The sequence below is a fragment of the Homo sapiens genome, chromosome 5 (genome assembly GCF_000001405.40).
Source record: "Homo sapiens chromosome 5, GRCh38.p14 Primary Assembly".
Lineage (NCBI taxonomy): Eukaryota > Metazoa > Chordata > Mammalia > Primates > Hominidae > Homo > Homo sapiens.
This window is the reverse complement of record NC_000005.10, coordinates 13,385,635-13,408,730: the sequence shown is the minus strand read 5'-3', so window position 1 is coordinate 13,408,730 and position 23,096 is coordinate 13,385,635. Positions and strand designations below refer to the sequence as shown.

Below are 23,096 nucleotides of genomic sequence, written 5' to 3'. Positions count from 1 at the left end.
TTGAGATCACCCAGTTCAGGCCTAGACCAGAAGAACTAGCAGATGGCCTATAGATTATTGAGGACATTAAATACTTGTTTTAAGTTGATGAGTTTTGGCATGGTTTGTTATGCACTAACAGCTAATTAATACATATGATAAAAACCATTTACTAAAATGAAAATAGATATAGGAAAAATAAACTAAATCCAGGGAAGAAATTAAAACATAAAACGCCTACTGTTACAGTAGGTAGCTAGTCAAGTATGAACAGGGCAGGAGAGGGCTTCCCCCCCCACCACACACCAGGAGTGCTGGGCAACCCTCAGGTGATAGTCAGGTGGTTGTTAACTGTCTCCCTAAAGTAATAATTGATCACAGCTGGTGCCAGGGAACGGCATTCTCCTAATAGAAAACATCTGAAACTGATCAGCAGCTTCACAATAAGATCTCAGGAGTGGAGAGAAGTAACACAAGATCCCGGAATTACGCCAACATATAAAATCCCAAGTCAAGCGGCCAAGCGGCACACTTGGTCTCTCAAGTCACCCATTAGGCCCTCTTCCAAGTGTACCTTCCTTTCTTTTCTTCTTTTCCTCACTTATGTAAAACTTTTTAATAAACTTTCACTCCTGCTTTAAAACTTACTTTAGCCTCTCCTTCTGCCCCTCAGTCAAATCCTTTCTTCTGAGGAGGCAAGAATTGAGGTTGCTGCAGACCCATGCAGATTACCACTGTGATATGGTTCGGCTGTGTCCCGCCCCCCACAATCTCATGTTGAAATGTAGCTCCCATAATTCCGAAGTGTTGTGGAAGGGACCCGGTGGGAGGTAATTGAATCATGGGGGCGGGTCTTGCCCATGCTGTTCTCGTGATAGCGAATAAGTCTCACGAGATCTGATGGTTTTATAAATGAAAGCTCCCTACACACACTCCTTTTTGCCTGCCGCCAGGTAAGATGTCCGTTTGGTCTTCTTCGTCTTCTGCCATGACTGTGAGGTTCCCCTCAGCTGTGTGGAACTGGGAGTCCATTAAACTTCTTTGATTTATAGACGACCCAGTTTCAGGTATGTCTTTATTAGCAGCATGAGAATAGACTAACATATACCAGTAACAATACTACAAAATATGTGCATTTGTTAGAGGTAGGCTGAATATTCTGTTTTGAGCTTTACAGCAACCAATGGAAGGAGGACTAGGCCACCTATTATATGACACATAATATAAACAAGATAGCAGTAAGCCAGTGATAACTATGCCTTTGACATTTCTAATAGACCTTGGAGTGAAATTATGCCACATTTGAAATTGAAATTGAATTTGAAATTGCAGAAGAAATGAAGTAAAATGCAGCTCTCTTGGGTTTTAACCACTTTTTTTCTCCCCTCGTGGAAAGGTTTTGATTAGTAGAATGTTTTTACCACTGCTACTTTCACACTACCTTTTTATTCCTCTTTCATATTCTTTGCTTCACATCATTTTTCTTGCCTTTCCTTATCTCCCTCCATTTATACTCACTGGTAAAGGCCTACAGAGATTAGAATGGAAAAGCACTAAAAAATATTAGGTCAAGATTAATTGGGAAGGATATTCTGATTAAAATTTTTGCCTTCGTAATATATTTAGGTACATGACCTTTCATGCTATTCATCATCTAAAATGCTTCAGTAGTTAATGAACTTTCCCATTTCACAAGTTTATCTGATATATTAATTAGAATTAACAATTTATCAGTGGAAGCCTATACCAAAAGAATGTTTTGTGTCAAAATTGCAAATTATTTACTAGCAAGTTTAGAAATATATCACCAGCATGTTTTCAAACAAATCTTTGACTATGTGCTAACATATACCCCTCTGCTTTGTTGGCTTCTGAAAGAGCTATTATCAGGTTCTATCTTCAAAACTTAATAGATTTTCTTTCTTCAGTCATCTCTTTACTGTAAATCATTAAAAAAATGCTTACCGGAAAAAAAAATACTGGCCACAACCAGAAAAAATAACAGTTACCAGAGTAGTAGTTGCTAGAACATGAAGACTAATTAGCTCTTCTGGTGCCAATAAAATAAATTGCTATTGGCCATGGTAATGTCTCTATTCCAGTCTATAAGTGCTTGAGGCAGTAAAGTGCTAATGATAGGTACCTTGAGGACCTGAGAGGATGCAGCTGGTCGAAAAAAATTTGAACATGTACTAATTTCATATAAATTTTCGTGACATAGAGGATTCTCAGAGATCTGTGGAATGATAAATGGAAAATTGGACACTAAAGTATACAAGTCAAAAAATACAAAAATGTCCCTTCTCTGAGACAAGTTTTGAAGCAGGTAATTATTTTTTCATGGTCTGTAAAAACAGTGAAAAAGTCTTTGGTTGAGCAGCTGAAAAGAGTTGCTGAACTCATTAACCCTTTCTTGATCTATTTCTCCTTCTCTCTCCTTTTTTTTTCTTTTTCTGAATTGGAGTTTCAGAATAAGTCAATAGAGGAAATGCTATGTTAAATGGTAGTTAAGAAGGAAGCACAGGAAACATCTATCTGCTCTCCTGTTACCAGGAATGCTGGAAAAACTGAGGTGTTGGAATCAAAGTCCCAGGTGTTTTGATGAAAATGAATCCTAAGTGAATGTGTTCTACTCAGTCTAATTTGCATACACTCTTTCAGCTTTAAGTGTGAATCAGTGAGCTGATTTCTAAATTTCTGATGGAAAAGCTAAAACAAAGATGAAGAGAGCAAAGTTTAGAGAAGCAGACTGGAAGATGATTCCCAATGATCCCAGACACCTGGGATTTACAACCTTATGTAATCCCCTCCGTTTGAGAGCAGTCTGCACTTACTGATGAAGAGGCTACAGCAGGAGTGATGGAAAATCATTTCTGTGATTAATTTACACACAAAAAAGTAGCTTCTGTCTTGAGAGACCTTTCGCCCTTTCTCACTCTCCCAGAGAGAGCACTTACTCTGGGAGAAACAAGCTGCTGTGTCATGAGTAACGGATGGAGAGTCCCAGGTGGCAAAAAAAATCTCATGTCTTTGGTCACTAGCCAGTGAGGACCTGAGGCCTGGTGATGGCCAAGTGCATGAGCTTAGAAGAGGATCCTCCCCTGGCAGATCCTGGAGGTGACTGCAGTCCTCATTGATACCTTCCTTGATTGCAGCCGTGAGAGTCCCTGAGCCACAGGCAGTGGCCCAGTCTCACCTGTGTTCCACAGGTGAGGTAGTGAAGATTTGTTGTTTGAAGCTGATATTTTTTTTAGGGGAAAACACAATAATAAACTAAGAGGTAATTTGATTCCTCCATCTTGTATCTTAGTTTCTACTCTCCATGTCTATTTTCTAAGTTTTCATGTTTTTGTTTTACTTTACCTTTGAGACTCCTTGGACTAGTTTTTCTTGGTGTTTATGTCCTAAGGGCATGCAATGGAGAATCTGAGGGAATAGGCCAAAGCGGTATAAAGTCCCTGGTTTTCTATGTATCTGGTTCTGGTGTTTAGATAAGGTCTTCATTTGCAGAGCAGAGCCACTCCACCTCCTCTCATGCAATGGACAGAGCATAGAAAGAAATGTGGGGCAGAAGGTTGTGCTGGGAACTCCTTTGCTTTCATTCTACTCATCAGTTATCTTGCATTTGATTTTTTTTCAAAGCATCTAAAAGAGGAAAATGTTGTTCTTTCAGGTTCTGATTTTTTGTAGCCAGTCTAACTAAACATTAGTTCTGTGTCTTTTTCAAATGTGACTTTCTCTTCTGACTGGGCAAATTTAAATTGCAACCCCTTGTCCTATCTCCACCTTCCTTACCACTTCGAACTTCCTCAATTTTTTTCTTACAGCATCACTTTATCACCAGCTAACATAATGTATAAGCAAATCATGTTTGCTTACATATTACACTTATTTATGTGTCCACTAATTACAGTATTAAAAAATCCATAAGGAGTTTGTCTGTTTTTATTCACTGTTGTATTTTAATTGCCAAAAAGACTCACTAAGTGTCTGTTGAATTAACTAATTTATTAATTAGTAGTGTTCTGGAAAATTATAATGATAATGTAGGGAGATTGAACATCTATCTTCTGATTAAAAGATGAGGAAACAGAGCTAAGGCATAAAAATAACTTTGCCAAAGTCGCTTATTTAATAATGGAATAAGGACTATATACTAGATTTCAAAATCTTTTTCTATTATGCCTTTACATTTCCAAAACAAACCTAGAAAAATTAATCATATGTGAAACATTAACTTTGGATGTTTTTCTTTGTTTAATATTATTTTTCTTGTGGAATATTATCTTCAGATTTTTTAACCTTTCTAAATTTTTTCCAATTAGTACATTTCAGTAGAATTTTAACTTTAATTCACGAAAATCCTCTATACTTTCCAAAATCTGCCAAAATCATATTGAATGATTATGTGACTATAAATCTGCCCCCTAAAGTCTTAGAAACTCATGCTGTGATTTAAAATACTTTTTTTCTTGTTGTTGTTGTTGGAATAATATTCCCAACCTACTTTTTGGCAGTAAACAGAATGCTTAAAGATTGTTTTTAGTTTGGGAGAGTAGCTCCATTTTATCTCCAAAGTATGTGTTATACTTTCAGGCTTTTCAGGACTATCATCGGCATAGTTCCAGGCTTGTTTGTGTGCTTCTTGAAGCCTTGCCTTTGTGCCAGACCACTCCTTCCCTGACTCTGTCATGCATCACTTAATGCCTTCATCAGTGTCCATTATCCAACAAATCCTTTAACCTCAAGGCCTGCCATCAAGCTTGAGTCTCTGATCGCCATCCAATGCCCTAGCCTTTCAGTTTCTTGACCTCCTCATTTATGGGGAGTTCATCTCCCTGCACCTGAGCCATTCCCTGTCCATCCCCTAATTCCATTCCCTGGACCTCATAACTTCTGCACCTTTGAAACTGTCGGAGCGTCCCATTCTCTGATCATAACTGCTGTTCTTTCCACTTTGTTCAGCTACTCCCATTTTGACCACTTACCAACTTTGACAACATGGGTCCATTGGGTCTTTGGCTTTCTTTTAATTTATTCATGTTCCAGAGTCATCTTTCTTAGATGTCATTGGCCAGTATTTCAACAACATTCTTGTCAGTGCTGTTAACACTCTTCTCTGATTTCTAATTTTGTCTAGCTAGCAAAAAGCTAACCACAGAGAAAATGATTCATGTTTTTACTTCTGCATCCATGTACCAGAGTACTTCTGGAGAAAATCTTAGATCAGGAAAGATGTGGTTTTCTCTGAATTCATAAGCCACAACCTCCACTGTGTTCTCAACCCTGATCACTTTCTCACATGCCTCTTTCAAACATTAGCTTCTGTCTCCAAACTGCCCTGTGCCCTCTTCTCATTCACTTAGACTTGGTTTCTGACTTTTTCTGGTACATTATGAAAAAACTAAAAGGTTGAAGATGATTAACCTCCCAGTATCCACCAATCAGCATCAGTATTCTGTATTCCCACTCCTGTTACAATAAATGAGCTATCCTAGGCTAATCTCTTCCAGCTCCACTTCAGATCACAACTCCTCCCACCTTTGCAGGAACTTTACTGACTTATTTTTATCTTGTGTATTCACATTTTTCATTTAAATAGAATATGTCCCAAGCTTGCTTATTTCACTCTTATTTAGGGCAAGCAAACATGACTCTTAACTCCACTTCTCTTTCTAGTTGCCACCTGTGGCATGTTGTAATTTCCAAAAATGGTTGCAATGATGTCTCCCATCCCACACTCATTTCTCATTTCTTACAATGTGACCTTAACCCTTCTCTCACTAAATGCTAGGGACTATTTCCCTCCCCACAACCTGGATAGAACTTCACACTGCCTCCACTAATAGAGAGGAAATGATATAAACATGGCCTCTTTATATGGTCTTTTCCTGTGGTCATGTTTGAACTTTGTCACAGCATGGTAGTTAAATTCCATCAGCAAGTATCCTAAACAAACAAGGTGGAACTACATAGCATTTTTTTGGCCTGTCTAACCTTGATAGTCTTATGGGGTTACTTCTTATCACAGCCTATCAAAAATGCATATTGCCAAATGACTTATCACTGATGATGAAAACCTAGATCACCTGGCTGAGATAGTTTGTCAGGTTTTTCCACGCCAAAGTTATTCTTTGTATTCCTTTCCATACTGTACTCTTTGAATGGCAGTCACTTTGCACTGCTCACACATCTAGAGTGGGGATTTATTGACATGCTCTACTTCCTTGGAGTGTCTACATAAATTATTTAGAATTCTGCATGGGAGAGCTATTCTTCCCCAGTATTTATTATTTGATCACTTATTCATGTCTGTATGGACTCATGAATATTTATTGTATATGTTTTATAATGGAATACTATGCTATTTTTTTGGCTCGAATATAATTCTAATTATTTTTGCTCTAATGTCAGCTTTGCCATTGGGTGTTCTTTCTGTTATCTCCCGTGTCCCTTTGACATACCCCATTAATGTGGCATTGTTTTTAGTACTTCCTTGCTTTCTGGCCCTACATGATGCTCCAGGCTCATCTCCTAGATTCCCTTCCCCACTCCTAGAATCAGCCTTTTCTCCAAGTGGCTACTGCTTTAATTGGAGAAAGGTATTACACACTGACATCTGAGTGCTAGCATGCTAACTGCTACTAGGACGTCATTGCCTTTAGGTCTTAGTAGGTGACAAAGTGAGGGGATATAAATGTGCATATTAACCCATGGATTAGGTTGGTGCAAAAGTGATTGCTGTTTTTCCCATTCAAAGTCATGGGAAAAACTGATCACTTTCACACCAATCTAATATTTACACATATAGATAACATTTTTATAGCTTAGTTTTTTCTAGTTTATAGCTGAAGAAATGCAATCTTAGTTCTCTTTCAAATATCATGAAATACCATTTTTTTGAACTGCCTCTGCAATTAACTAATTTGGAAATTAAGGATAAGCTACTTAATCTGTGGAAACTTCAGTTTTTTAATGTGTAACATGAGAGATTCACTGGATGAATTGAAGTCTTACCAAATTTGAAAGTCTTTATAAGCAGTGTACCTGTGCAGATTCTTTTGAGGGACCTTCATCTGCATTTATAAACTTTTAACTAGGTTTTATTGTGACTATCCTTAAAGCTTGTCTGTGCATATGTGTCTGTGTGTGGGGGTTGAAAATGCTCTCACAAATTGGCCGCTGGCTCACTCAGTATATTCATTTACATTATTTTCATCCTATTAAAGTAATAATGCACTAGTGAATGTACATAAGGCACTCTATGTATATAAAGTACTATATAACTTTTATTATTATGCCTCACAAGTCATATTACTTTTATGAGAATGACTCCACCTCTTATGAAGTCACACCTTCCTTCTTCTCTTGTCTGATTATGAAGAGATCTACAGTGTTTTCCTTTCTTCATCAGTTCGAAATCTAGCTCTCTACGGTACAAAGGTTGGCAATTTTAGGAGAGAAATAAGGACTTGGTATGTTTCTGACAATCGTTCGGATAATGTTTTTCATCATTGCACCTCAAAGGCATGGCATAGACTTCTTTCAGTGTGCTGGACCATGAAAAGAGGAAACAAGAATAGAGTTTCACATATTTTTAAGTGAAATAGCAGCCAAGTAACTATATGGTTCGCTGCTTTAGGTTATTTTCACAGATGAAAGCAAGCTTTTTATGACAAGCAAGTTTCTCTATTCTGTCCTTCATGGTGAGATCATTGTTTTTGTGGGAGGAAGGGTATCTTAAAAGTTATGGGATGCTCTGGGTCTAGAGTCTTCTTGATCTTTTCAGTGCACATCCAGCTTAAGCAACCCATCCAATTCTGAACTCTAAAAACAGATCTGCCAAATAATTAAGCAAAAAATAATTTAAATCTGGCCATCATAGGGTCTGGGCATTAGAAATAGAATCTTTATTGGCAGCTGTAAATTACACAGTATTAACACTGAGTTTAATCTCACCCATTGATTACAAAAGGATATAGAAGTTTAAACATTTTAATTTTGGAATTTTCCCTTAGAGCTTTTTCCCCTCTAAGAATCACATTTTCTTTCACTCAGCTTAAAAGTTTGGGTGACACTGGTTTCATAACACAAAGTATGTCAATTAAATGGAAGCTGGGTTTTTTTTTGTTTCGTTTCCAAAACAAAGTTTCTGACAGCATTAAATGCAACCTTTTCAAGGAAGCATCTGGACTACAGTTATAGATGAACATTTCTCATTTCATTGTCTGAGTACAAAGCCATTTACAGGGCAACTTATCACATAAACACCCCTTGGCATCTTATAATAGAAATCAATAACACAGTAAAAAAGAAGACAGATGCAATTTAACCATATGCTGCATAAAATATACCCTGTGAACTTCTTAAAAACTTTGTGTATGATATTTACCTTGCATTGATGCCTGATATATACATTTAATTTTTATTGGTCTTTAGTAAAGAACAAAATATTTATCTTGGGAAGATAAAAAATACCATGTGTAGATTTATGAAACAATTTCAGATTTCTCACTGTTTGCAAACACATCATCACTGATTAGGAAGAAATGTTTTTGAGACCTGAAAGCAAGTGGAGACAAGTCCATTCATTCATAAGTCCAGGAAGAAGCAGGAAATTATCATCTAGTAAGAGGGGTGGCCCAGGTAAAGAGGTATGTGCACAGGCAGGGGAAACTGATTGTCCTTGAAAGGGATGGTGTGGGTTGGGGCAGAGGCGACCAGGAACTAGAAATATCAATATAGCTGGTGGACCAGAGTGTGATGCTAACACTGAAGAGAGTGGCTCTGACCCAGCCCAGTTAAGGCGATGCCATGTGCCTCCTTAGAGTGGCTCAGTTAGATGGTGGCTAAAGCAAAGATGACAGCACTGACCCTGAAAATCAGTGGTGATCCAAAGAGGCATCCCTCATTTAGAAAAGAGTTGTCTAAATGGGTAGGAAATTGACCTGGTTGGCCTTGAAGGAAGGCATTCAGAGCAGTCAAATTTGGAGAAGGCACACTAAGAGACCGAATATGGCCTTCTTACTTGGGGCAGCTGTGGCACAGGAGAGAACGTGAAGGGAGCTGGGACCCCTGGCTGGATCCAAGGTAGTGGGAATACCACGGAGACTGATGGTTTTCTGCCAAGGATCTCTCTAGGTTAGGGACTGGGAACTATCTGTCACTCAGGGTCTACAAAGAGTTCACAAGTCGATTTTGTCTGGGTGCCTTAAGGACAAAGTCACAATGTCTAGCGGCTATGCTAACCTCTCACAGATGACTTCAAAGTCACTGCCTTTGCAGATGTCCCCAGTTTGGTAAAAGCAAATGCCCGATTTGTGTTGTAATGTTAAGGGCAAGCCCAGTTAAGCATCCTGTCATTTCTTCTAATAATTGACTGATACTCTCTTAGCTTTCATAGCTTTTTCTTTTACCCCAAATATCCATTTCCTCAGTTCCCTCAATTCATTTAATTATTCAGTATCAGAGTCTCACAGGAGGTGAAGTTGTTTTTGTTTTTTTGCTTTATTTTAGTACATTTAGCATTTGTTCTTGTTGCCATTTACTTTTGGGATTTTGTTAAAGCATAAAGAAGAAAATTTTTAAAGTAGGGCTTTATAAAGTAAAAAGCCATATTCTCATTTATTATAATTTTGCATTTCACTTTCAAATGTTTTTTTTTTTTCTTTAGCTCTTTCTTTTGAAAGACATTTCTTTCTGCGTCAAGATTTCTTTTGAAAGAGCTTTCTTTCTGCATCAAGTTTTAAGAAGACAGGACTGGTCTCTTCTCTTTTTTATTATAAGTTTATTGAGATATATTTCATATACCATAAAGGTTTGTTGTTGTTGTTGTTTTGTTTTTTAAGAGTCTCACTCTGTCATTCAGGCTGGAGTGCAGTGGTGCGATCTCGGCTCACTGAAACCTCCGCCTCCTGGGTTCATGTGATTCTCCTGCCTCAGCCTCCTGAGTAGATGTGATTACAGGCGCACGCCACCATGCCTGGCTAATTTTTGTGTCTTTAGTAGAGATGGGTTTTCATCACGTGTGGTGGCTCACACCTGTAATCCCAGCACTTTGGGAGGCCGAGGAGGGCGTATCACTTGAGGTCAGGAGTTCATGACCAGGCTGGCCAACATGAAGTTTACCCTTTAAAATGTACATGTTGTGGCATACCTTAAAGTGTACGTGTTATACTTGGAAAAAATGTATCACAAGGTTCTGTAACTATTATTACTAATTCTAGAATATTTTGATCATCCCCCAAATAAGCCATGATACCCATTAGCAGTCACTCTCTATTCCTCTTACTCTGGCCCGTGGCAACCAGTAACCTATGGGTTCTGTTTTTATGGATTTGGCTATTCTGGACATTAATTTTTGTAGCTAATATTCCATTGTATAGATATACCATATATAGTTTATCCATTTATCAGTTGATAGGTAATTGGGTTGTTTCTATTTTTGGCTATTACAAATAATGCTGTTATGAACATTCATTTAGAACTTTTTGTGTGGACATATGTTTTTATTTATCTTGCATATATACTGTATTAGTTTGTGAAGGCTGCCATAACCAATACCCTAGACTGGGTGGCTTAAACACCACAAATATATTCTCTCTCAATTCTGGAAGCTGGAAGTCCAAGATCAAGGTGTCAGCAGGGTTAGTTTCTCCTGAGGCCTCTCTCCCTGGCTTGTAGATGGCCACCTTCTTGTGGCATCCTCACATGGCCTTTCCTCTGTGCCTGCACATCCCTGGTGTCTGTGTGTCCTGATCTCTTCTTCTACAGATATCAGTCATATTGCATTATGGCCCACCCTAAAGACCTCATTTTAACTTTATTACCTCTTTAGAGATCTTATCTCCAAAAAGGATGACATTCTGAAGATACTAGGGGTTAGCACTTCAACATATGAGTTTCAGAGGATGCACAGTTCAGCCCATGCCATGCAGCTACAAAGGGAAGTGCTTTGTCACATGGTTACTCTATGTTCAGCCTTTTGAGGAACTGACAAAAAGTTTTCAAGTTAGCTGTACCATTTTACCAGCCACGTAGGAGGGTTTCAATTTCCTTATATCCTCACCTGCATTTGTTAATATCTATCTATTTGATTATAGCCATTCACAGGAGGTAAACTCTTGAAGTGTATCTTTTCATGAATTTTCCGTTTTTCCGCATTTCTGTGTTTCCTCTGTCACATTGTCTCTCGACAGTGCTGCCGACATCATGTCCGTGTGTATCCTGTACTCTAAGGGCTTAAATATTTGATCATAAGAGTGGTAATATTAATTCAAATAGGTGGGAGAGGGCTGTGAAACCTGATGAATTGTGTAGTTTATGATAAAAGAAACTGCATAGATACTGTACAAAATATATATAATTACTAAGAACAAAGACAATCTAGATGAGGGATTTAAGTGTTTATTTACGTATTATTCAGCCTAAATTTAAAACACCCCACATTGTTTATATATATAAAGCCAGTAAAGCACTTAACTCTTTGTCCTTTCAATAACTTCTTTGCTTATTTAAAAGCACTGCAGGCTGGGTGCAGTGGCTCATGCCTGTAATCCCAACACTTTGGGAGGCCGAAGTGGGTGGATCACTTGAGCTGAGGAGTTCGAGACCAGCCTGGGTGACATGGCGAAACCCTGTCTCTACAAAAAAACTAAAAAAATTAGCTGAGCTGAACTCCTAGCTACCTGGGAGGCTGAGGTGGGAGGATTGCTTGAGGCTGGGAGGCAGAGGTTGCACTGAGCCCAGATCACGCCACTGTACTCCAGCTTTGATGATAGAGGGAGAATATGCCTTAAAAAAAAAAAAAAGCAAAAAGAAAAGCACTACAATCAGTATGAAGCTGTGGCCCTAACCAAAATGCATTTGGGGAAGTGTGAGCTCCATTGCAATCTTTCCTCTTGCAAAATGGAACTTATTAGAGTGTGAAATGTTTACGTGAGTTGGAAGTTCCCTATGTACACCTATTTTCATTCCAATGGAGAATTTCTGAATTTTGTTTTTAAGTTAATTTATTATTTTTCTGGAAGAGCATAATTCCTGCATATAATCGCATTAAAGAATATTCATCTTTTTCAATAGTCAACAAAGAAACCGTTAAAACTCAAAGTTATCCTATGAAGAGCTGTAAGTGGAAATGATCCTTCTTTTAGCCAGGTGTCTAGGAAAGTATCTTACATTTTGCCTGAGGCCAATACTTTTCTAATGTCTTCTTAGTATCTTTGAAACTTAAATCAATGCAAAACAAATAAACCAATAATATTCTAAACTCTGAGGCCTCATTTCTAGCTAGGCTGTGTTTTTTGTTTTTTTCCTGGCAAATTCAGTGAGTCTGAGCTTCTTCCCTGGGTTTATCTTTTTGTGTTGATCACCTCCAAAAATTCAGCCCATCCTCCGAGAAACTTTGGTGGCTGTCCTAAGTGGAATCCTCTCTCTCTCTCTCTCTCTCTTTTCTCTGTGCTCCTCTTGCAGTTAGTTGTAGCATCATTACTGTCAGTTATAGTAATTCTGCATGTTTTTATCTCTTCATCCAGGTCAGTGGTTGTCAAAGGCGACAATGCATCGGTATTGTCTGAAGAAATTTTCAAATACCTGCTCCTTTCTAGGATCCAGACACAGGATAAGGTAAGATGTGTCCCAAACTGAACAGACTCTTTCCAATTCCTACATATTGGCAGGCTCAGTCCCTGGGCAGTTTATCAGAATCTGGAAAAGGTCAGACAGCCATTCCCCACCGTGGTTTTAACACAGAGAGTCCTTTCCTCTTTCTTCTCATCCCATTTGCTTGTCTGTGGTTTGACTCTGCCCACTGAAAATATCAGATATTTGTAAATGAAGAACTTACCAGTTATACATGTCATAGACACATCTGAATAGGTAGGTCTTAGATGGCCTTTCAAAGAAAGAAGTCTTGGCTGAAAAGACATCTTATAAGAAAACTGAATAAAGAATAGAGAGATTTTGATTGAATAGATGTGTTACATGCTAGACATCTTGTTAAGCATTTTATCACAATTTAATTCTCCCCACAACTCCATGAAGCATGTATTGTTATCCTCACTTGACAGATGAAAAAATAATCTCAGAAAAATTGAACAAATTGCTGGAGATCAAACACTACAAAGTGATGGAACTGGAATGAGTCCAAAGTTTGTTCACCTCTCACAGAGCCTCTGGGTTAAAGATGGTTATGTTTGTATCAATTTAGGTAAAAACTTTAATACCTATTCTAACCCAGAATGACAATATCTAAATGAACTTGTGAAATTTTGCTGTCTTTATTGAGTACCCAGGCCAAATCTGAGTCTGCTGGTTGTGGCATTGTAGATTGCTTTTCAAACAAAAGACATTTGCCACAGTCTGAACATGGTTGTCTGTGTATGTCTCTCTGCATGCTTTTCTGCATGGTGTGCCTGTGTGTGCGTGTGTGTGTGTGTGCGCGCGCGCGCACGCGCGCACTGGGTGTGATGTTCATGATCGAGATGGCTGGCTGTTCTTTGATGCAAGGGCGTGCGCGTGTGTGTATGTGTGTCTGTGTGTGTGCACACTGGATGTGATGTTTATGATCAAGGTGGCTGGCTGTTCTTTGATGCAAGGGCGTGTGTGTGTGTGTGTGTGTGTGTGTGTGTGCGCGCGCGCGTGCACTGGATGTGACGTTCATGATCAAGGTGGCTGGCTGTTCTTTGATGCAAGGGCGTGTGTGTGTGTGTGTGTGTGCACGCGCGCGCGCACTGGATGTGACGTTCATGATCAAGGTGGCTGGCTGTTCTTTGATGCAAGTCATGGTCCTCACTCAGAGTCTGATCTGAGTAGGAGACTCCCAGGTGTCCTCCAGAGATTAATCTAAGTTATTTTCTCAGATTAACCCCCTCAGTTTCAAGCACTGATACTGCAACTGTGATATGTTTACAGTTTGGGGGTGCTAGTGGGTGTGCCTGGGAGGGGAGAAGCTTTTACTTAGACATGACATATTTATCAGAGCTTTGTGTAAACAAGCATAGCTAAATTATGAATGGTTGGGGTGAGACTGGGAGTGGGGACAGTAGGTTTACATTTGTTATATACATTCACAGAGTGTTGTCTAAGAATTGTATGGAGTTAGAAGATCCTTGTGCATAAGTAAGCATCATCTAACGCATTGTATCAAGTGTCTTTGTTCCTATAACATCTACTTATGACATAGATTTACGTTTATGGGTGTTAATTCCTTAGCGTAGTTTCTCAGCAGAACACAGACTCTGTGAGGCCAGGAAGCTTGGGGCAATATGTAAGATGAAAGATCCCTGAAAAGAGGGTGAGAACATGCCCTAGATGAATGTTTTAAACTATCTTTGGTGAAGACCAGTTATTTTTCTCCAACTTGCTGTAGATCAACACTGGTATCAGTTCACACCAAAAGTTACTCATCATTTGTGCTGGGCAACATCAAGGTGGTTACTAACACTGTTCGGTGAGATATGTCCACTGAGCATACACTAGAATATCAGGCAATATGGAATTGCTGTAAAAATATCTAAATTCTCACCTCCAATTTCTGTACTTACCACATTAAGAGATAGATAACAGGAGACTGGTGCTGGTCTATGGACCACATTTTAGGCAGCATTTCTGGAGACAAACTTTACCTACTGGACAGTTCCACCCAAGGCCAACACTGCTAGTAGAGGAGGAGGTAGACACTCTTGATGCAATGCCTTAGGTAATGCTTATCTATGTACAAGAATATTCTAACTCTAAGATTGACCTTATAAAACACTATAAGGTTTGAGTAGTAATGATCTCTTAACCATTTTCTTTTTATCAATGGACTTAACAAGGGAACAACCTTTCTGACCTGACGTAAGAATCCCTTGTATAGAAATGCCACAAGAGCAAATATTGTAGCTGCAGAAGGAATTGAGAGCATTGACTGTATGTGTATAGTACCGTCAGTAAAGCACAAAAAAATAAGCAACTTGCAAAAATGAGGAGAAATGTTGGGTTGCTCCTGGGGAGAAAAACCATGGTTAGAAAGAAAGAACAGAGATGCTGCTGCTGAGGCAGATCATTTGGAGAAAAAATAGACATGTTTAAAAGGATTCCATAAAATTTTGCTTTCTCTCCATTTTCCTAATAAATCATGTTATTTATCTTTAAGATTTTTTGGAGTTTGACTTATTTGTAAAAATTTTCAATTGCCCTGTCCTGGAGAGACTTACTTTAAAGTGAGAGGTGAGAGGTGTTGACCAAGAACAAAGGCCATTCAAATGGAGGGATAAAGTGAAGAGTGTATTGACTTGATTTGAGCATTTAATTTCATCAGTATAAAAATCGGCATCAATAATCATCTCCTTATTTGGATGACTGCATTATTTGGCTTTCATTTACGTAAAAATCAACCCTCCAGTGTTTTGACGCTTTGATCATTATGAGAAAAGGGGTTTCTAGTTCCTTTGAGTTCCCTCTTCTGTTATTTTTGTTTGTGGAATGTGTATTTTAGAGGTGGTTGGGCTTTTTCTTTTCAGTGTTTTATGTCAGAAGTAAATGTCTGTGGGGTAATTAAGATGAGTGGATTGAGTGGGGATTAAGTGTGGGTGCAGAAAATATTCAGGTTGAGGCTGCAAGTCTAGTTATTGAGGTAAACATTTGATCTCTAGTGTCATGCCATGATAGCTACAAAGCTTATTCTATAGCCAAGCATTTGATTGCTAAGTGAACTGTCTCCCTTGATCCCCAGGCAGGGTGCAGGGTGCACATGTAGTATGTAGGATTTTTCACCTCTTTCTTCTCCCAGTCCAGTAATTTTAACATCTGTGTATACTTTGTAAGACAAACCTGGAAACCAGATAAGGAGAAATTAGAAATGGTAACACCGTTTCTTTCAGGAAATAGTCACAGTTCTTGGCAACCAGTGGCCACGAATTGCAATTTTTTTGTTGATGATGTGAAACTACATGAAAGATGAAAATCCCCACCCTCCAAGTAATTATAGTTTGATTAATTATGGATTCTAGGGCTAGGGGAAGTGGAAGAGGAAATATAGAATTCTCTAAAATGTGAATTTTCAAAATTTAGACCATCAGCTGAAAATTAACCTTTTCTTTTTTGGCCACTTGAAAATATTCCATTTTTATTTGAGGCACCTGGAGAATCATAGTGGTTGAACAGAGATGACAGTTTTACATTTGCAGGTCAGTGTCTGGCATGCTTAAGCACAAATAGGTATAGCAAGTGTCCTGGAAAGCAGGTGATAACATGAGGGTGAATAGATACTGAATGCATGTAACTGGGAGTCACTGTAGACATTCCATCACGGGCCAGCGGGAAATGTGAGAGAGCCTAACTGGAGAGCAGGAAGAGGAAGCATTTGTGGAGAATTCCACATGTTGAATTTGAGGCATTGTGGTGAATCCACTGCCGAATACTGCTCCACAACACTCTTCAGTCTCCAAGAGTATTAGTCTTAAAATGTTTCAGTAGCTTTTTAAAAAATTGAAATTACTGTATTTTATTGAATCTGGACTGCCATCAATTATAAGAGAGAGTTCATTCCCACTAAGAATAAAAAAAAGACCTTTCAATTAAACTATGACACAATAATGCCTTCTCATTGAGACTTTTTATTCTATATTTTTTGTAAATACTTTTTAGTACTTGATTAATTGGCCATACCAGTCTCTTATTATTTTAAAATATCATTTTATCCTTTCTAGGGATGTAGCCTTGTCCTTTTGTACATATCTTGATAATAAAATTTTAACAAACTATCTTTTGTGGATTCAATCCTTCCTTAGATTCCGTAAAACTCTTTTTTTGTGAGAAAGTATAGAATGTGATCATTCCTTAGATCAGTTTTATTACTACTGAATGTATGAACCACAGTTCTATTTCCATACCTTTCTGCATAAACAGTACCTTTTTGATGCAATGTTGAATCATAAAGTAATATTTTAGAATACATTTTATTTTAAGTAAGTGTAAAACTAACTCTGTTATTACCCAAAATGAACACTACTCAAATTGACAATTGAACCACTATGGTCAAGTCCAAGCATTCAAAGACAATGCCAACTACACAACAACTGTTTCATGGCCAACAGCAACTGGGAGAAATTGGGAGATATGTCAGATATCAGAGAGGATAAATATTCTCTTTTGGGATCGAAAATAATTGAGTGAGGTCAGTGTGAGCTTAATATATCTGATCTTTAGCCATGCTAAGTTTGAAAACAATTTTTGAGTTATTGTATTTTTACAATAAGATATATATTTATATAAAGATTAGAAATGTAGCAAAGCACACAAAATATAATAGAAATAAAAAGTAACTTGAATGCTGCCACTCACTGATAAAGGTAGCCTCTCCCACCAATGATAAAGGGGATTCAGAACATATTTTGCAGAAGACACTTGTTTTCTGTACATGAGTTTTCCAAGGAATGAAATCTTATTCATGTTCCCAGTACAAGTTTTGGAGGGAAGAGAGTTACCCAAATAAGTACAACACAATCAGAAGCACAGGAATAACTTTTGGCTCCTGAGTGTATAAACTTAGCCTATTGCTCCAGCGAATGAACCTTTGTTCATATTTGTATTTTATCCTTTACCTCTTGACTCCTGTCTCATATTGGAAAGGTAGCAAAGCTTAACATGTTTTGGCAAACCCAAGCCTTACCTTGAAAGATGAAATAAGAAGGTTATATTTCTAAAAATCCATACAGTGCTGAATTCTACGTAATTGAAAAAAGGACTTTTGTGTGATGAATGCAGTCATTAGTTTAATATCTAGCTCGACTAAAATATTTAACAATGAGCTCTTGAGTACAAGGCATCAAGGTAAAGCCTTAACACATTTCCTAACTAACGGGAATGTACTATGCATTATAGATTTTTACTTCTTACCCTCTAAATTCTACACCAGAGTGCAGAAGGTGATGTGAGAGATTCTTTACAGGATTTCAGGTCTCCAGATTAATGATGTTGGTATACTCTTATACATCAAGTTTTAATGTCAACCGTTGATAGATGTTGACCTTATTAAACAATATTTATTATTTATCTTAATTCTGAGAGCTCTACACCAGGAACATACAAGTCATTTTCTTTTTTTTTTTTTTCCCCAATTTTCATTTTAGGTTCAGAGGCTATGTGTGCAGGTTTGTAACATGGGTAAATTATGTGTCGCTGAGGTTTGGTGTACAAATGATTCTGTCACCCAGATACTGAGCATAGTCCCTGATAGGTACTTTTTCAACCCTCAAACCCCGCTCACCCTCTCACTCTCCCCCCGTCTTAGTCCCCAGTGCCCAGTGTTGATTATTTCCATCTTTATGTCCATGGATGCTCAATGTTCAGCACTGATTTATAAGTGAAAATGTGATATTTGAATTTCTGTTCCTGGGTTAATTCACTTAGGATTATGGCCTCCAGCTTTATCCATGTTGTTGCAAGGGATATAATTTCATTCTTTCTTATGGCTATGTAGTATTCAGTGGTGTATACGTACTGCATTTTCTTTATCTAGTCTACTATTGATGGGCACTTAGGTTGATTCCATGTCTTTGCTGTTATGATGAATATACACAGGCATGAGTCTTTATTGAAGAACGATTTATATTCCTTTTAGTATATATTCAATAATGAGATTGCAGGGCCAAACTGTAGTTCTATTTTAACTTCTTTGAGAAATCTCCAAACTGCTTTCCACAGTGGCTGAACTAATTTACATTCAAAACAACAGTGTATAAACTCTTCTCCACAGCCTCATTAGTACGTGTTTTATTTTTTCTTCTATTTTTAGTAATAGCCATTCTGACTGGTGTGGGTATCTCACTCTGATTAGTGATCATGAGCACATGTCCATGTTTGTTGGCTACTCCTATGTCTTCTTTTGAAAAATGTCTCTTCATCTCCTTTGTCCATTTTTAAATGAGGTTATTTGTTTTTTGCTGTTGATTTAAGTTCCTTATAGATTCTGGATATTAAATCTTTTTTCAGATGCATTGTTTGTGAATTGATATGGTTGAATCTGTGTCCCTTCCCAAATTTCATGTCAAATTGTAATCCCCAATACTGGAGGAGGGGGTCTGGTGGGAACTAATTTGATCATGGGGGCGGTTTCTCATGAACGGTTTAGTACTATCCCTTGGTGGTGTTCTTGTGTTAGTAAATGAGTTCTTACCAGATCTGGTTGTTTAAAAGTATATAGCACCTCTCCTCTCCTCTCTCTTGCACGTGCTGTGTGAGATGCCTGCTCCCCCTTTGCCTTCTGCTGTGATTGGAGGCTTCCTAAGGCCTCCCCAGAAGCAGATGATGCCATGCTTCCTGTACAGCCTGCAGAACCATGAACCAATTAAAGCCCTTTTCTTATTACTCAGTCTCAGGTATTTCTTCATAGCAATACGAGAACAGACTAATACACGAATATTTTCTCTCATTCTGTAGGTTGTCTGTTTACTCTTGATAGTTTCTTTTGCTGTGCAGAAGCTCTTTAGCTTAATGAGGTCCCACTTGTCAATTTTTGTTTTTGTTGCAATTTCTTGTGGGGACTTAGCCAAAAGTTTTCTGCTGATATCAAGAAGGTTATTTCCTACGATTTCCTAGGATTTCTAGGATTTTTATAGTCTTAGATTCTTACAGATCTTACATTTAAATTATAACCCATCTTGAGTTAATTTTTGTGTATGGTGAAAGGTAGGGGTACAGTTTCAATCTTCTGCATATGCCTAGCCAGTTATCCAGCACTGTTTATTGACTAGGGAGTCCTTTCCCCATTGCTTGTTATTGTTGCCTTCGTCAAAGATCAGATAATTGTAGGTGTGGCTTTATTTCTTACATGGTGGCAGGAGAGAGCGAGAGAGTGAAGGGGAAATTGCCAGACACTTTTAACCATCAGATCTCGTGAGAACTTACTGTTGTGAGAACAGCATGGGAAAAATGCCTCCATGATTTGGTTACCTCCTACTGGGTCCTTCATCTGACACATGGGGATTACAATTAGAGATAAGATTTGGGTGGGGACTATAGAGTCAAACCATACCATTCCACCCTGGCCCCTCCCAAATCTCATGTCCTTCTCACCTTTTGAAACCAAACATGCCTTCCCAATAGTCCCCCAAAGTCTTAACTCATTCTAGCATTAACTCAAAAGTCCAAGTCAAAAGTCTCATCTGAGACAAAACAAGTCCGTTCTGCCTATGAACCTGTAAAATCAAAAACTAGTTAGTTACTTCCAAGATACAAGGTGTGTACAGGCATTGGGTAAACACTTACATTCCAAAAGGGAGAAACTGGCCAAAACCAAAGAGGCACAGGCTCCATGCAAATCTGAAACCCAGCAGGGCAGCATTAAATCTTAAAGCTTCAAAATAACCTACTCTGACTCCATGTCTCACATCTAGGACATGCTGATGCAAGGGGTGGCTCCCATGACCTTGGGCAACTCTACCTCTGTGGCTCTGCAGGATACAGCTCCCATGGCTGCTTTCATGAGCTGGCATTGAGCGCCTGTGGCTTTTCAAGTTGTGTGGTGCAAGCTGTTGGTGGATCTACCGTTCTGGGATCTGAAGGATGGTGGCCCTCTTCTCACAGTTCCACTCGGCAGTGCCCCAGTGGGGACTCTGTGTGGGGGCTCCAACCCTATATTTCTCCTTTGCACTTCCCTTGTAGAGGTTCTCCATGAGGGCTCTGCATCTGCAGCAGGATTCTGCTTGGACATCCAGGCATTTTCATACACCTTCTGAAATCTAGGTGGAGGCTCCCAAAGCAGAACTCTTGTCTTCTGTACACCTGCAGGCCTAATAATATGTGGAAGCTGCCAAGGCTTGGAGCTTGCACCCTCTAAGGCAATGGCCTGAGCTGTACCTTGGCCCCTTTTAGCCATGCCTGGAGCTGGAGTAGCTGAGATGGAGGGCACCATGTCCCAAGACTACAGAGTAATGGGGCCCTGGGCCTGGTCCACAAAACCATTTTCCCTCCTATCCCTCTGGGCCTGTGATGGGAGGGGCTGACAAGATCTCTGAGATGCCCTGGAGTCATTTTTCCCATTGTCTTGGCTATTAACATTTGGCTTCTCTTTGCTTGTGCAAATTTCTGCAGCTGGCTTGAATTTCTTCCGAGAAAATGGTCAGGCTGTACCACATGATCAGGCTGTAAATTTTCTAATCTTTTATACTCTGCTTCCCTTTTAGACATGTCTTCCAATTTCAGACCATCTCTTTGTGAATGCATATGACTATATGGTTTTAGAATATACCAGATCACCTCTTGAATGCTTTGCTGCTTTGAAATTTCTTCTGCCAGTTAAAATCATTTATCTCAAGTTCAAAGTTCCACAGATCTCTAGGGCAGGGGTAAAATGCTGCCAGTCTCTTTGCTAAAGCATAGCAAGAGTGAGTGACCTTTACACTAGTTCCCAAAAAGTTCCTCATCTCCATCTGAGACTACCTTAGCCTGGACTTCATTGTCCATATCACTATCAGCATTTCTGGTCAAATAGATTCAACAAGTTTCTAGGAAGTTTCAAACTTGCCCATATCTTGTCTTCTTCTGAATCCTCCAAACTGTTCCAGCCTCTGCCTGTTACCCACTTCCAAAGTTGCTTCCACATTTTCCAGTATCTTTATAGCAGTGCCCCACTCTCTCAGTACCAATTTTCTGTATTAGTCCATTTTGTGCTGATATAAAGAACCACCTGAGACTGGGTAACTTATAAAGAAGTTTAATTGACTCACAGCTCAGCATGGCTGGGAAGGCCTCAGGAAACTTACAGTCATGGTGGAAGACAAAGGGGAAGTGAGGCACATCTTACATGGTGGCAGGAGAAAGTGAGAGAATAAAGGGGAAACTCACACACTTTTAAACCATCAGATCTTGTGATAACTTACTATTATGAGAACAGCATGGGAAAAAAAACCATGATCTAATCACCTCTCATCAGGCCCCTCCTCCAACACATGGGATTACAGTTGGAGATGAGATTTGGGTAGGGACACAGAGCCAAACCATATCATTTATTTTGTATCCTGAAACCTTACTGAAGTCATTTATCAGCCCTGGAAGCCTTTTGATTGAGTCTTTAGGTCTTTCGAGGTATACATTCATATCATCAACTAAAAGAAATAATTTGACTTTTCTTTTCCAAGTGGATGCTTTTATAAGAGTGGGCATCCTTGTCTTTTCCAGTTCTTAGGGAGAATGCTTGCAGCTTTGTCTGTTTAGTGTAATGTTGTTTGTGGGTGTATCTTAGATAGCTCTTATTATTTTGAGTTTTGTTCCTTCTATGCCTAGTTCATTGAGAGTTTTTATCATGAAGGGATGCTGGATTTTATCAAAGGCTTTTTCTGCATCTATTGAGATAATCATGTTTTTTGTTTTTAACTCTATGTGGTGAATCACATTTATTGATCTGTGTATGTGGAACCAGACCTGTATCCTAGGAATAAAGCCTACTTGATTGTGGTGAATTGACTTTTTGATGTGCTGCTGGATTTAGTTTACTAGTATTTTGTTGAGGATTTTTGTGTCTATGTTCATCAAAGATATTGGCCTGTAGTTTTCTTTTTGTTGTTGTTGTGTCTTTGCCAGAGTTTGGTATCAGAGTGATTCTGGCTTCATAGAATGAATATGGGAGAAATCTGTATTTTCTGGAATGGTTTCAGCAGTATTGGTACCAGATCTTCTTTGTATGTGTGGTACAGTTCAGGTGTAAATGGATCTGGTCAAGAGCTCTTTTTTGTTGATGGGTTTTATATTACTGATTCAATTTCAGAACTTGATATTGGTCTGTTCAGAGTTTTGATTTCTTCCTGATTCAGTCTTCTGACATGTGTTTCCAGGAATTTGTCCATTTCCTCTGCATTTTCTAGTTTGTATGCATAGTTGTGTTCATAATAGTCTCTGAGGATCTTTTGTATTTTTGTGGGATTGGTTGTAGTGTTAGCTTTGTCATTTCTTGGATCTTCTCCCTTTTTTTGAATTTAGCTAGCTAGCTATTGATCTTGTTGATTCTTTCAAGGTACAAGCTTTTGGTTTTGTTAAACTTTTCATGGATTTTTATGTCTCAGTTGTGTTCAGTTCTACTCTGATTTTAGTTATTTTTTTCTGATGCTAGCTTTGGGGTTTTTTTTCTCATTTTTCTA

At 38.6% G+C, this 23,096-nt stretch overlaps 1 long non-coding RNA gene across 2 annotated transcripts in view; it reads left to right on the top strand.

The window, feature by feature from the left end:
• Positions 1 to 12,611, top strand: part of LOC105374660 (uncharacterized) — a 184,231-nt gene extending 171,620 nt beyond the window's left edge. For both annotated transcript variants that reach the window (XR_001742606.2, XR_007058696.1), the window contains one exon: positions 12,513 to 12,611. This is a non-coding gene — a long non-coding RNA (uncharacterized LOC105374660). The remainder of the gene's footprint in view (positions 1 to 12,512) is intronic.
• Positions 12,612 to 23,096: the final 10,485 nt, after the last annotated feature.